The sequence below is a fragment of the Homo sapiens genome, chromosome 2 (genome assembly GCF_000001405.40).
Source record: "Homo sapiens chromosome 2, GRCh38.p14 Primary Assembly".
NCBI lineage: Eukaryota > Metazoa > Chordata > Mammalia > Primates > Hominidae > Homo > Homo sapiens.
In genome coordinates, this window is record NC_000002.12 from 218708850 (window position 1) to 218721442 (window position 12593).

Consider the following 12593-nt stretch of genomic DNA (forward strand, 5'->3'; position numbering starts at 1 on the left):
CTAGTAGCTGGGACTACAGGCGCCCGTCACCACGCCTAGCTAATTTTTTGTATTTTTAGTACAGGTGGGGTTTCACCGTGTTAGCCAGGATGGTCTCGATCTCCTGACCTCGTGATCCGCCCGCCTTGGCCTCTCAAAGTGCTGGGATTACAGGCGTAAGCCACTGCGCCCGGCCGGGAACTCAGTTTTTAAGGTTGCTCTAGTGTCCCCTTAGCCACGATGGGGTCCATTAAGTTGGTTGGGGTGGTACTTAAAATTTTTATTTCTCAGTCTCAAAAATGTCATTTTACAGTTTGTTTGAATCAGGATCCAAACAAGCTGCACTCATTGCATTTGAATATATTTCTTTTTTTTTTCTCAAGAGGGAGTCTTGCTCTGTTGCCCAGGGTGGAATGCAGTGGCACAATCTTGGCTCACTGCAACTTCTGTCTCCTGGGTTCAAGCGATTCTCCTGTCTCAGCCTCCTGAGTAGCTGGGGGCTACAGGTGTGCACCACCATGCCTGGCTAATTTTTGTATTTTTTGTTGGAGACGGGGTTTCACCATGTTGCCCAGGCTGGTCTTGAACTCCTGACCTCAAGTGATCCTCAGAGTGTTGGGATTACAAGTGTGAGCCACTGTACCTGGCCAACATTTGAATATATTTCTTAAATCTCTTATAATCTAAAACATCTCTCCTCATTTTTATACCCTAAAATTGTTGAAGGAAGAAGAGGTCATTTATTCTGTACATTGGCTCACATTCTGGATTTGTTTGATTGCTTTCTTGTAGTGTTATACAGTTGTTTCTCTTTATTTCTTGTTAACTGGAAATTACAGCCAAAACTTGATTAGAGTCACTCAACTTTTTTTTTTACAAAAATACGCTATACTTCATAAATATTTCTGTTCAATTGCATCACATCAAGAAACAATGCTCAGCTGTCCCATGTTTCGTGATCTAAGATTGATTAGTACATGTAGGTTATCTTCAGTGTACATCCTTCAGTGTAAAATTCTCCCATAAATTATCTAATACTTTTAGCATCCATCAACGACTGTTGACTAAATAAGTTATTTATTGAGATCCTTCCTCTGGTCCAGACTGTTTTCATCAGATTAGTTTTATCTTTGTCCCCTTTATTTCTGTAGCCAATTGCCTAGGAAAGATCCTTTCATCTTCCAGCTTTCTTAGATCTCCAAATCTCTCAGGTCTACGGACATCTGAGGCAGGAGCGCGATCTGGCTTGCCTGGGGAGCTAACGAGATAAGGAATTGAGTCAGTATTTCCTAACGTTCACACTTGAAGCCCATAAAGCAGGCAGGTGGTTTTAATTTTGCCCCGCTGGGTGGGTTGGGGTTAGGGAAGGATGGGTTAGAGGGAGGCAGAGTGAATCGGGCAATCTCCCCTTTCCTGCGGTCAAACTCAAAGGCTTTTTCTAGAAATCCTTCAACTGAGCCTGGGCCCTTTGATTTTCAATTGAGGCAAGGCCAAAGAGTCCAGGCCAGGCGTGGGGGCTCCCGTTGTAATCCCAGCGACCAGGAGGCTGATGCAGGAGGATCACTTGAGGCCAAGAGTTTAAGACCAGTCTGGGTAACATAGTGAGACCCTGTCCTGAGAAAAAAAATTTAAAAATAGCCCAGCATGGTGGCGTGCCTGTAGTCCCAGCTACTCGGAAGGCTGGGGGCGGGCGGATCGCTTGAGCAGGAGTTCAAGTTCGCAGTGAGCTATGATCACGTCGCTGCACTCCAGCCTGGGCGACAGAGCGAGATTCTGTCTCTAAAAAAGAAAACAGTCCATAGGGAGTAGGTGGAATTAGAGTAGAAAGAGAGAGTCCTGGATGCTCCGAATGGAGCCTTTCAGAGCTTTAACCACGGGACTACATCTCCCAGAATTCCGCTCGCCGGATCCCACCGCACTGAAGGGACTGCGCGTGCGCGAGTCAGGTGACGACCCGCCCCTACAGGCCCCAGAACCCCCGAGATTCCCCGCGCTTGCCTCCCGCCCTCTTCTTCCAGACTCTCGGTCTGTCCGCTGGGGGCGCGCGCGGTGTGTGGCAGGCGGCAGCGGCGCTGGCGGCCGAGTGCGCTTGTCACGCGTGGCGGTGCGTGGTTGCTAGGGGCGCCTGAGGCTGCCGGGTAGCCCAGCAGGCCGAGGGAGGAAGTAGCGTGGAGCCGGTGCCGAGCCGGGGCGAAGCTGGATCCCCTAGGTGAGTGCGGCTGCGGAGCCAGGGGAGCCGACCCCAGACACTCCGCCGGTCCCACGCTCCCGACCTCCCTCTACCTGAGTCCTTTCGCGCGGGTCCCCAGCCCTCCGGCCACTCTCACCCTAGCCCCGCTTCCTCCCGCCACCTCTCATCCCCCGGGAGGCCAGGGAGCCGCGGCCTCCTACCCGGCCGGGACTTCGCGCCTCCTCGGAGCCCTTCTCCTCTCCGCCACGCCCCGCGAACTTAGTCGGCCTCGCCTCCGGGTGCCCGAACACTGCCTCATCCCCTAGTTATGGCCTCCGAGCTTCCTCTGTCCTGCCGCGCTGAGGTTTAAATTCCCTCTGGGTGTGAGCCCAAGCTCCTCGCAGGCTCCAGGGCCGAATTTAACATGGATATCTGCTTTTTCACTTCTCCATCCTCAGTATCTGTAGAAGAATACGTTCCTAAACTCCACAGATTCAAACAGGATCTGAGATCCTGTGGAATTTAATTCTTCATTCATCAATTCCTTTATTTAATCATTCACTAAACAATTTTTAGTAAACATTGACAAATATTTAATGAGCCTGGGTACAATGGGAGGGATTGAGGGGATAGAGTGGCTAATAGGACAAGCATGTTTTCACGGAATTTACAGTCTAGGAGATTATTAATCAAGTAAACGAGCATTTGCCATACTGTGGTGTGTGCTGTGATAGAACAGGAAATACTTAATCCGGACTTACTTAGAAAACGACATTATTGCCATTCCTCCTGGTCTTCACATTCCCATTCTGGATCTCGGAAATATTTTAATCCTTCCTTGATGAAATCTTCTTTGCTTTCTCAGATACTACAAATCACCTATTCTTTAACTGCAGCACCTGTTGATTTAGCATTTGGGGGACCCTTTGGGACAGTGTTCCATCCCATCCTTCTGTTTCTTGCACTGAATACTGAGACACTGTTTGCATTTAAACCACCCACTTTGTGCTCAGAAAGTTAGCAGCTACTTATATTGGACTGAATCAATCCTTGAAAAATTATCAAGTGTTTTCTGCGAATAGAGAGGTGGGAGGACATTCCAGATACACAGTGGCTTTAGGAAAGGGACAGCAAGTCCTGAAAAGAGAACTGGAAACAGTTTGACAGACCTGGGCTAGATTTGGAGGGAGCCATCCAGTAACAAATAGAAAGAGTGAAGTTAATAGGGGTTAGATCACAAAGGGCCTTGGATGTTTTGCTGAGTTAGAACTATATCCCTGGAGCAGTGGTTTTCAAGCTGGAGTAATCAGGGTTGTAGACTTCCAAGGGATACACTTGCACGTCTAGCTTAACATGAATACATTTCCAGATCCTCAGCTTCCCAGTGAACTTTTTTTTTTTTTTTTGAGACAGAGTCTTGCTCCGTCACCCAGGCTGGAGTGCAATGGCACGATCTTGGCTCACTGCAACTTCCACCTCCTGGGTTCAAGCGATTCTCCTACCTCATTCTCCGGAGTAGCTGGGATTAGAGGCGCATGCTGCCACGCTCGGTTAATTTTTTGTATTTTTTAGTAGAGACGGGGTTTCACCATCTTGGCCAGGCTGGTCTCAAACTCCTGACCTCGTGATTCACCCGCCTCGGCCTCCCAAAATGTTGGGATTACAGGTGTGAGCCACCGCGCCCGGCCCCAATGAACTCTTTTTCTAAAACTTCCCTTACAAAAAAAGGGTAGGAGGCTGTGTGTGGCAAATCCCTCACACTTCCCAAATTTTAATATGGTGTATTGGCCTGAGTGTAAAAATGTCCTCAGATACAAATAAGGACTACTTTGGAAATATTTATTTTCAGGAACACCTCCTTTAGTGATTTAAGTTACCTCCCAACCCAGAAGGCTTGCCAATACACAATCCCATTCGTGTAAACTGTATTCTTTGTTAAGATATTCTGAAAAGAACACAACAGTTAAATGTAACGGGAATGTCTTTTGGGACAATGGAATTTTTAAGTTATTTGGATAAAACTTGCGTAAAATTTTTAAAGAGATTTCTTTTAGTTCAGGTGTGTGTTACTCAGTAAGATAGTTAATACCTATTTTAAGACTGGGTGTTGTGGCTCACACCTGTAAATCCAACACTTTGGGAGCCTGAGGCAGGCTGATCGCTTGAGACCCAGGAATTCGAGACCAGCCTGGGCAACATGGCGAAACCTCTTCTCTACAAAAAAAAATATGTAAAAATTAGCCAAGCATGGTAGCGTGCTCTTATAGTCCCAGCTATTTGTAGGCTGAGGTGGGAGGATGTATTGAGCCCAGGAGGTTATCCAGGCTGGAGTGCCATGGTGTGATCATAGCTCACTGTAAACTCCAACTCCTGGGTTCAAGCCATCCTCCTGTCTCACCCTCCTGAGTAGCTGAGACTACAGGCATGCGCCACCCATCTGGCTAATTTTTTAAAATTTTTAGTAGTGATGGGGGTCTCTCTATGTTGCCCAGGCTGGTCTCAAATTCCTGGGCCCAAGTGATCCTCCTGCCTCAGCTTCCCAAAGTGCTGGGATTACAGGAGTGAACTACTGTGTCTGGCCTAGACGTTACCTTATATGTAAGGAACACATAGTTTTAAAAATTCTTTCAGGGATACATTAGTAAAATCATGTAAAGAATATGTTCCAGGAAAACCACAGAAAGATAATTATCAGGAAAATCATGTCAGATTTGTATTTAAGATTACTGTAGTGTCAATATGTTGGTTGAATAGGAAGAATTTTAGACTGGAGGCAGGGAGCCAATGAGAAAACTATTATAGTGGCCTAGGCTAGAGATGATGAAGGCTTTATGTTTGCTCTAGTGGAAATGGAGAGGGTTTAGAGAGATGTTAACCATGGTAGTGTTGACAAAACCTGGTGGCAGAATAGAGGTAGAAGAATGGGACAAGGAGCAGTGTAGAATGATTGTAAGTTTCTGATTTCAGTGACCATGTGGGTGGTGATGCAGCAGCACATCCAGGTAGAAAGGCCCAGGAGTTCATTCTGTAGGTCTGGAGCTCACAAGAGAGGCCTGGGTGATGATAGAGTTGAGAATATAGGAGGTGGTTGAAGCCGTGACGTGGAAGGGATTGCTCTGGGAGAGAGGTAATAATGGCAGCTGCCACTTGTTGAGTGCTCACTGTGTGCCAGGCAAAGTGAGAAGTCTGAACTCAGAGCAACACCAGCATTGAAAGGATGGGTAGAGCAAAGAGGAAGGAAGAAGGGGACAGAGAGAATACATAACCAAATGCAGAAATGAATGTGTGAATAGGAAGTTGTCATTTGCTGAAAATCTGTATCTAGATGAAGCCTTAACTTCAGAATCCATCTGATACTCATGTTTTGGAGTTGGATTTAGCTTTCTCACTAGATTCCTTCTATGACCTTGGAATTGTCTGATCATAGTGTCTGAATTTTAGCCTGTGATCAGGTGCTTTGGTAAATCACCAAAAGTCAGTAAATTACAGAGAAAAGCTTTTCCTTTAATGCCTTTTACTTCTTACCTTTTCTTCTGGCAGAGTTGGGAACAAATACTGAGAGTGCTCGTTTCTCTTAGGCCTTACAATACAAAGGACCTTGTCCTTCGGAGCCCTCATAGATATGCTAGAGAAGCATAGTGCTTCTCTAGACCGGCAGTGCTCAGAGCTCAGAGTTTTTGGGCTCAGGATTTCTTTATGTACTTGAAAAAGCTCTTTGGAATCTTCAGTTAAAAAAAAAGGGATATATATATATATATTTCAATATTCAATTTTTTCTTTTTAAATTTTGTTTAGAGATGGGGTCTCACTATATTGCCCAGGCTGGTCTCGAACTCCTGGACTCAAACAGTCCTCCCGCCTCAACCTCCCAAAGTGCTTACAGGCTTGAGCCACTGCGCTTAGCCTATATTTTAATATTATATTAGGAACTGAAATATTCATTTAGAAGTAATAAGCCCATTACTAACATGAATAACATTTTTACGTATGTTACAATTTACATTAACTGTATGCTAACGTAAGTTAGTTAACACAAACAGCATTTCTAACCTAAGTTATGGTTAGCATAAGTTCACTTAATGTTTTCATTTAAAAAATGCTACTGTTTTAAAAATATTAGTGAGAAGAGTGGCATTGTTTTTTAGATCTCTTTAGTGTCTGACTTAATAGAAGACAGCTGGATTTTCATATGTTTCTCCAGTCTATTGTGATAGTTGTTTTGATTGAATAATGAAAATCCAGCTGCACACAGATGGCTGGAAAAGGATGAAGTATTTCAGTAGTCTTCTCAGATAGTTGTGGGTATTGGTACTATGCAAAACAAAGCATGATTTTGTAAAGGCTAGTTACAGTGTGGAATCTGAAATGATATCAGTGAACATTTCATACTTTGTTATGTTAAAATCCATGGATCTGTCTCACTTTGACTGGGTCTTAGATCCATACATGATTCTGTAACATGTGATACAGTCATGCTACACAGTCATGGTATAGCCTATTGCTCCTAGGCTGCAAACCTGAACAGCATGTCACCATAATGAGTATTCTCTGCAGTTGCAACACAGTTGCAACACAATGCATCTAAACATTGAAGCATAGAAAAGGCTACTGTAAAAATAAGGAATGATAATCTTTTTTTTTTTCTTTCTTTAGAGGGAGTCTCAATCTGTCGCTAGGCTGGAGTGCAGTGGCGCAATCTCGGCTCACTGCAACCTCCACCTTCCTCGTTCACGCCATTCTCCTGCCTCAGCCTCCCAAGTAGCTGGGACTACAGGCACCCGCCACCACGCCTGGCTAATTTTTTTGTATTTTTAGTAGAGATGGGGTTTCACCATGTTAGCCAGGATGGTTTCGATCTCCTGACCTCGTGATCCACCTGCCTCGGCCTCCCAAAGTGCTGGGATTACAGGCGTGAGCCACCACACCCGGCCTGGAATGATAATCTTATGGGACATTGTCTTCTATGGGGACTATCTGTTGACTGAAACATTATGTGAGGCATGACTGTTAGGAAAATACTGGTTCACTGAGTTATGCAGATCTCCCACGTGTCACAGTTTATTGTATAGTGTCAAAAAAATCATATCACCACAATCTCTTCAGAGAAGTAGTTAAATATTGGGAAGCACTCAAACTCGTGGTGGCAGATACCATTTTGCCAAAATTCTAATTTTCTTTGGGAAGCTCAAATTTTATCATTGGCAACAAGTACAGTCAGTTGGTTTCCTTGAAGTGACAGGCTTACTTTGTTTCATTTTCCAGAACCTTTGCCAAATAATGACGTCGGAATAACTATTACTTATGTGTCATTCATTCTTTCAAGTAAACATGGCGTTCCACAGAAAAATCCTGCAATTCAGACAATCACACAAGTGCTTTAGAGATAATCAACATGTTCTGCATGCAGCATAAATGTTTTATATGTACTTCACATTTTATCACACAGAATATTAAAAAGCATACTCAAGGACACTTTTTAATGAGATTTAATATAATTTACACTGTGTCGGGCTGGGCGCAGTGGCTCACGCCTGTAATCCCAGCACTTTGGGAGGCCGAGGCGGGCAGATCACAAGGTCAGGAGATCGAGGCCATCCTGGCTAACACGGTGAAACCCTGTCTCTACTAAAAATACAAAAAATTAGCCGGGCGTGGTAGTAAGTGCCTGTAGTCCCAGCTACTCAGGAGGTTGAGGCAGGAGAATGGCGTGAACCCAGGAGGCGGAGGTTGCAGTGAGCCGAGATCGTGCCACTGCACTCCAGCCTGGCGACAGAGCGAGACTCTGTCTCAAAAAGAAAAAAAAAATTTACACTGTGCCATCAAGTAAACCTGGTTGTATTCTTTCACTGTGTGGTGGAAAAGTATAGTGGGTAAGAATCTAATTTCGTGCCATCGTCTTGATTCATGCTAAGTCACCAGCAGTTTTACTCATTATTGCTTTTGCTCTATCAGTGGAAAGGTCAGCACAGTAAAAAGGCAAATAACATCTTAGGTTTTTTTCTTTTTCTTTTTTTTTGTCCGAAGACAGGCTGGAGTGCAGTGGCATGATCATGGCTTACTGCAGTCTCCACCCCCCAGGCTCAGGTGATCCTCCTACCACAGGCATGCACCACCACATCTAGCTGATTTTTTGTATTTTTTTTTTGTAGAGACAAGGTTTCACCATGTTGCCCATGCTGGTCTTGAACTCTGGAGCCCAAGTAATTTGCCCACCTTAGCCTCCCAAAGTGTTGGGATTATAGGCACAAGTCACCCCACCCAGCTACCTCTTAGTTTTGTTATGAAAATATTTTCTATGTAGCAGGACCGCCAAAAGGATCTTAGGGTCCCCTCAGGGTCTGTGGACCATGCTTTGAGAACTGCTGCTCCAGAGCCCACCTGAGAAGGAGGAAAGAGCCTCCTTCCCGAAGCTGATAAAGGGCAAGGCTTCAGGAGAGTGAGTCACCCCATTACATAAACCCTTCCACTGGTTTCACTTTTCAGTAATTTATAGGTTTACCTCCCTCAGCTCCAGCTGCCATAACCTGTATCTTTTCCTCAGGTTTGCTTACTTGTTTGGCATTGCTAAACTGTGCTCTACAAGAGCTACCTGTAATTTCACTAATCTTGACTTATACGGACCCACCCTTCTCACTAGGCTGTATTCTTGACCTTCCTCTCTTAGTAGGGCTTTAGGAGAGATATATTGCTCCTCCACCTTTCCTTAGGGAGAGAGAGCTTGGGATTTATCTCATAAGAGAAAATTAATGTGATTCCTACACTCCTCTCTATTTGGTTCCAGGCAAGTCAGTTCTATCTTCTTCTTTTTTTTTTTTTTGGAGACAGAGTCTTGCTCTGTCACCCAGGCTGGAGTGCAGTGGCACAGTCTCGGCTCACTGCAAGCTCCGCCTCCCGGGTTCAGGCCATTCTCCTGCCTCAGCCTCCCAAGTAGCTGGGACTGCAGGCGTCTGCCACCACGCCTTTTGTATTTTTAGTAGAGATGGGGTTTCACCGTGTTAACCAGGATGGTTTTGATCTCCTGACCTCGTGATCCACCTGCCTCAGCCTCCCAAAGTGTTGGGATTACAGGCGTGAGCCTGTCAGTTCTATCTTCTAACATAACTGTTGAGCAGTTGAGGTAATCTCATCAGAGATCTTGTGGACTGTAGACTGAACCATTTCTGATGTCCTGAGTTTCCCTGGTGACCGAGGGAAACACCTAGTTGAAGGAGGAAAGGGAAACTGCATTTCCCAAGAGCCACACTCTCTTGTAGGAGAGTGATTTAATTAGTGGGTAATGAATAATTGCTTTCTCTAGAAATAGATACCTTGTCCAAGTTGGTCTGGGCCTGGTCCCTGGAGACTTGTTGGTTTGCGACAGCAGCAATAGATTTTCTTTTCTTTTTTTTTTTTCTTTTGAGACGCAGTTTCACTCTTGTTGCCCAGGCTGGAGTGCAATGGCGCAATCTCGGCTCACCGCAACCTCTGCCTCCCAGGTTCAAGCGATTCTCCTGCCTCCACCTCCCAAGTAGCTGGGATTACAGGCATGCACCACCATGCCTGGCTAGTTTTGTATTTTTAGTAGAAATGGGGTTTCTCCATGTTGCTCAGGCTGGTTTCGAACTCTCGACCTCAGGTGATCTGCCCACCTCGGCCTCCCAAAGTACTGGGATTTCAGGCATGAACCACTGCGCCCGGCCAGCAATAGATTTTCTAACATAGGCTACTAATCATTCACACTCCTTTAAGGAGGAAACTTGAGGCAAAATCACCCCATAAAGATTGGAGGACAGAACTGTATAGGCAGTTTCCAAATGCTGCATGAAGATGACAAAGTAGGATGTTCAGATTCCTGAGAATGGGTGTTTTAAAGGGGAGAGTCTGGAGCCAGGGACATCAGTCAGGCTGCTTACCTTAACAGTCCTGCACTTGGTGTTAGAGGGGTTGGAGACTGGGCTGAGGCAGCCATGCAAATAGAAGGGGATGTTTCAGGCCATTTTGTTGATCCATACAACTTTCTGCAGTTTTTTATTCTTCACTCTTACCCCTTTATTCAAGTTTTATTTTTATTTTTAACAGTTTTGTGGAGGTATAATTCACATTGAACATATCCATCGTTTCTAAGTCAATTTTTTAAAAACTTTTGTTCTAGGAAGACTTAGTGTTCCATAAAGTTGTTGGGGGAGGAGACTTGGGCAATATTGCTAATAGGAGGCCAAACTGGACCAGGGTTCTTCCCACCCCCTTCTGCCAGCGTGGCTCTGTATTTGAGGTTAAAGATCCCCAGAGATTTCCTATAAAAGCCATCATGAAGCTTATAGGGCATATCACTAGGGTAAGTGAACAGTGGTGTGAGATAGCCTTGGGAAAGTATCACGTGAGAGGGACACACAACAGGTGCTCGTGGAGAGGGTGGGTCTTGAGCTGGGTCTGGAAAAGGTAAATAAAATATGGTAAGGATTCACAAGGAAGAAGCTTAGTGGAGTAAAGCCCTGCAGACAGGCATTTGAAAGGTTTATTCCAGGAATTTAGTGTAAGACCAGCGCAGTTCACATAACAGAGTTCAAGGTAGGAGGAAATGGAAATAAGCCTTAAAAAAAAAAAAAAAAAGATTAAGGGTCGACTATGGAGTCTTGTGGACCAAAGCTAAGAAATCTCACATGACAGTCATCTGGAATGCTTGTTAAAACTGCAGACTCATGGCCCTACTCCACACCAACTGAATCCTCTTGAAGGTGAATCTCAGGACTTTGCATCTCAGGTTATTCTGATGCAGGTGGGCCACCACAGTGTTTAGTAAGTGCTCATGGACCGTTTTTGAAAAGGGATTGACCTGATGAAGCAATACAGCAAAATTAATCTGGAGGTTGCCTGCAGGGTGGAATTAGGAAGGGCACACCTTGGAGACACATGCTTCAGTCAGTGCTGTTGCAGTAAGTCCAGATCTAGGGGCATGGTGGAAATAATAAAAGGAGGAAGAATGCTAAGTAGACAGAGTGTCTTAAATTTCATGACTGGTTTCCCTTTGGGGAAATAAAGTAAAGGAAAAAGTCAGAAATAACTTAGTTTTCCTCTTAGGTGATTTGGAGAAAGAAGGGTCCACTCAAGGAAATGGGACGATCAGGAGTGGAGAGCTAGTTTGACACACTAGATTGAAGTGGTTGGACATGCATTTGGAAAGGTGGAACAGGCAGTTGGTGATGCAGACATGAAACTTGAGACGACAAATCTGCAAAATGACTCTTCTGCAGATAATAGTTGACATTGTGAGAGAGATTGATTTGATGTGGGGGAGGATGAAAGAACTGGAGGATTTTGGATTGGCCTCAGGAGGAGGAAAGACACTATTGAAGGGGTTGGGTACAGCTGTGGCAGAGTGCACGCACTGAGTAAAAAATAGCAACAAGGAGATGGTGGTAAGAGGGGAACGCCTTTTTCATATGAATAGGTCCAACTCGTGGCTTTGCTGATGTGATATTGTGATATAATAAGAAATACTCCAGCCTGGTCAGCATGGTGAAACCCTGTCTCTACAAAAATACAAAAATTATCCGGGCACGATGGCGGGTGCCTGTAATCCCGGCTATTCGGGAGGCTGAGGCGGGAGAATTGCATGAACGCGGGAGGCAGAGGTTGCAGCGAGCCGAGATCGTACCATTGCACTCCAGCCTGGGCAACACAGTGAGACTCCGGTCTCAAAAAAAAAAAAAAAAAGAAAGAAATACATAATTGGGGTGTGCCCCTGGTTCCTGGCTCCTAAAACCTTCAGAACTTGTAAGTGATAAGTGTCTTTTTATATGCTAATGAGATGATTGATAGCTGGGGACTCCTGAATAGCCTCAAGATGGGAGGCTGATTGCCGAGAGAACCAACCATGTGATTAGAGGGTTGGAACTTTCAGTTCCATCCCCCACCTTCTGGGAAGGGGAGTGGAGCCAAAGATTGAGCTGACTACCAATGGCCAGTGATTTATTCAGTCATGCCTATTAATGAAACCTGCATAAAAACCCAAAAGGACAGGGTTTGGATTGTTGAGCACATGAATGTACCTGGCACTCCCGGTAACAGCACGGAAGCTCCAAGCCCTTTTCCCCATCCCTTGCCCTATGCATCATGTATCTCTTCCATGTGGCTGTTCATCTGTATCCTTTGTAATAAATAGGTAAATGTAAGTGAAGTGTTTCCCTGAGTTCTGTGAGTTGTTCTAACAAATTGATCAAACCCCATGGGGGGGTTTTGGGAACCTCAATTTACCCCCAATTAATTAATTAATTAATTAATTAAGAGGTGGGGTTCTGCCATGTGGCCCAGGCTAATTTTGAACTCCTGGGCTCAAGCGATTCGCCCCACCCAAGGTGTTGGGATTACAGGTGTGCGTCACCGCGCCTGGCCAGGGAACACCAATTTATAGCAAATCAATCAGAAGCACAGGTCACAACCTGTGCCTTGCAATTGGAATCTGAAG

General features: G+C 45.0%; 1 protein-coding gene and 1 long non-coding RNA gene across 17 annotated transcripts in view, besides 4 other annotated features; one reads left to right on the top strand and one right to left on the bottom strand.

Moving 5' to 3' along the window:
• Nucleotides 1-752: 752 nt before the first annotated feature.
• LOC124907983 (uncharacterized) lies at nucleotides 753-2635 on the bottom strand. The gene is made up of 2 exons (XR_007088089.1): nucleotides 2371-2635; nucleotides 753-1237 (listed from the first exon to the last, which is right to left on the bottom strand). It is a non-coding gene; the product is annotated as an uncharacterized LOC124907983 (long non-coding RNA).
• Nucleotides 1788-1887: an enhancer, noted in NCBI's record as "active region_17130". NCBI's record gives its function as "activates an Ori minimal core promoter by ATAC-STARR-seq in GM12878 lymphoblastoid cells {active_cell/tissue: GM12878}" and the evidence as "EXISTENCE:reporter gene assay evidence [ECO:0000049][PMID:35858748]".
• Nucleotides 1986-12593, top strand: part of TTLL4 (tubulin tyrosine ligase like 4) — a 48890-nt gene continuing 38282 nt past the window's right edge. For all 16 annotated transcript variants that reach the window (XM_047446455.1, XM_047446454.1, XM_006712875.3 and 13 more), the window contains exon 1: nucleotides 1986-2188. The gene's annotated coding sequence lies outside the window, so the exon portion shown is untranslated. The remainder of the gene's footprint in view (nucleotides 2189-12593) is intronic.
• Nucleotides 2268-2317: a silencer, noted in NCBI's record as "silent region_12325". NCBI's record gives its function as "represses an Ori minimal core promoter by ATAC-STARR-seq in GM12878 lymphoblastoid cells {active_cell/tissue: GM12878}" and the evidence as "EXISTENCE:reporter gene assay evidence [ECO:0000049][PMID:35858748]".
• Nucleotides 2328-2377: a silencer, noted in NCBI's record as "silent region_12326". NCBI's record gives its function as "represses an Ori minimal core promoter by ATAC-STARR-seq in GM12878 lymphoblastoid cells {active_cell/tissue: GM12878}" and the evidence as "EXISTENCE:reporter gene assay evidence [ECO:0000049][PMID:35858748]".
• Nucleotides 10717-11014: a silencer, noted in NCBI's record as "fragment chr2:219584289-219584586 (GRCh37/hg19 assembly coordinates)". NCBI's record gives its function as "represses an EF-1alpha promoter that drives an FKBP-Casp9 reporter gene in an ReSE screen in K562 erythroleukemia cells {active_cell/tissue: K562}" and the evidence as "EXISTENCE:reporter gene assay evidence [ECO:0000049][PMID:32094911]".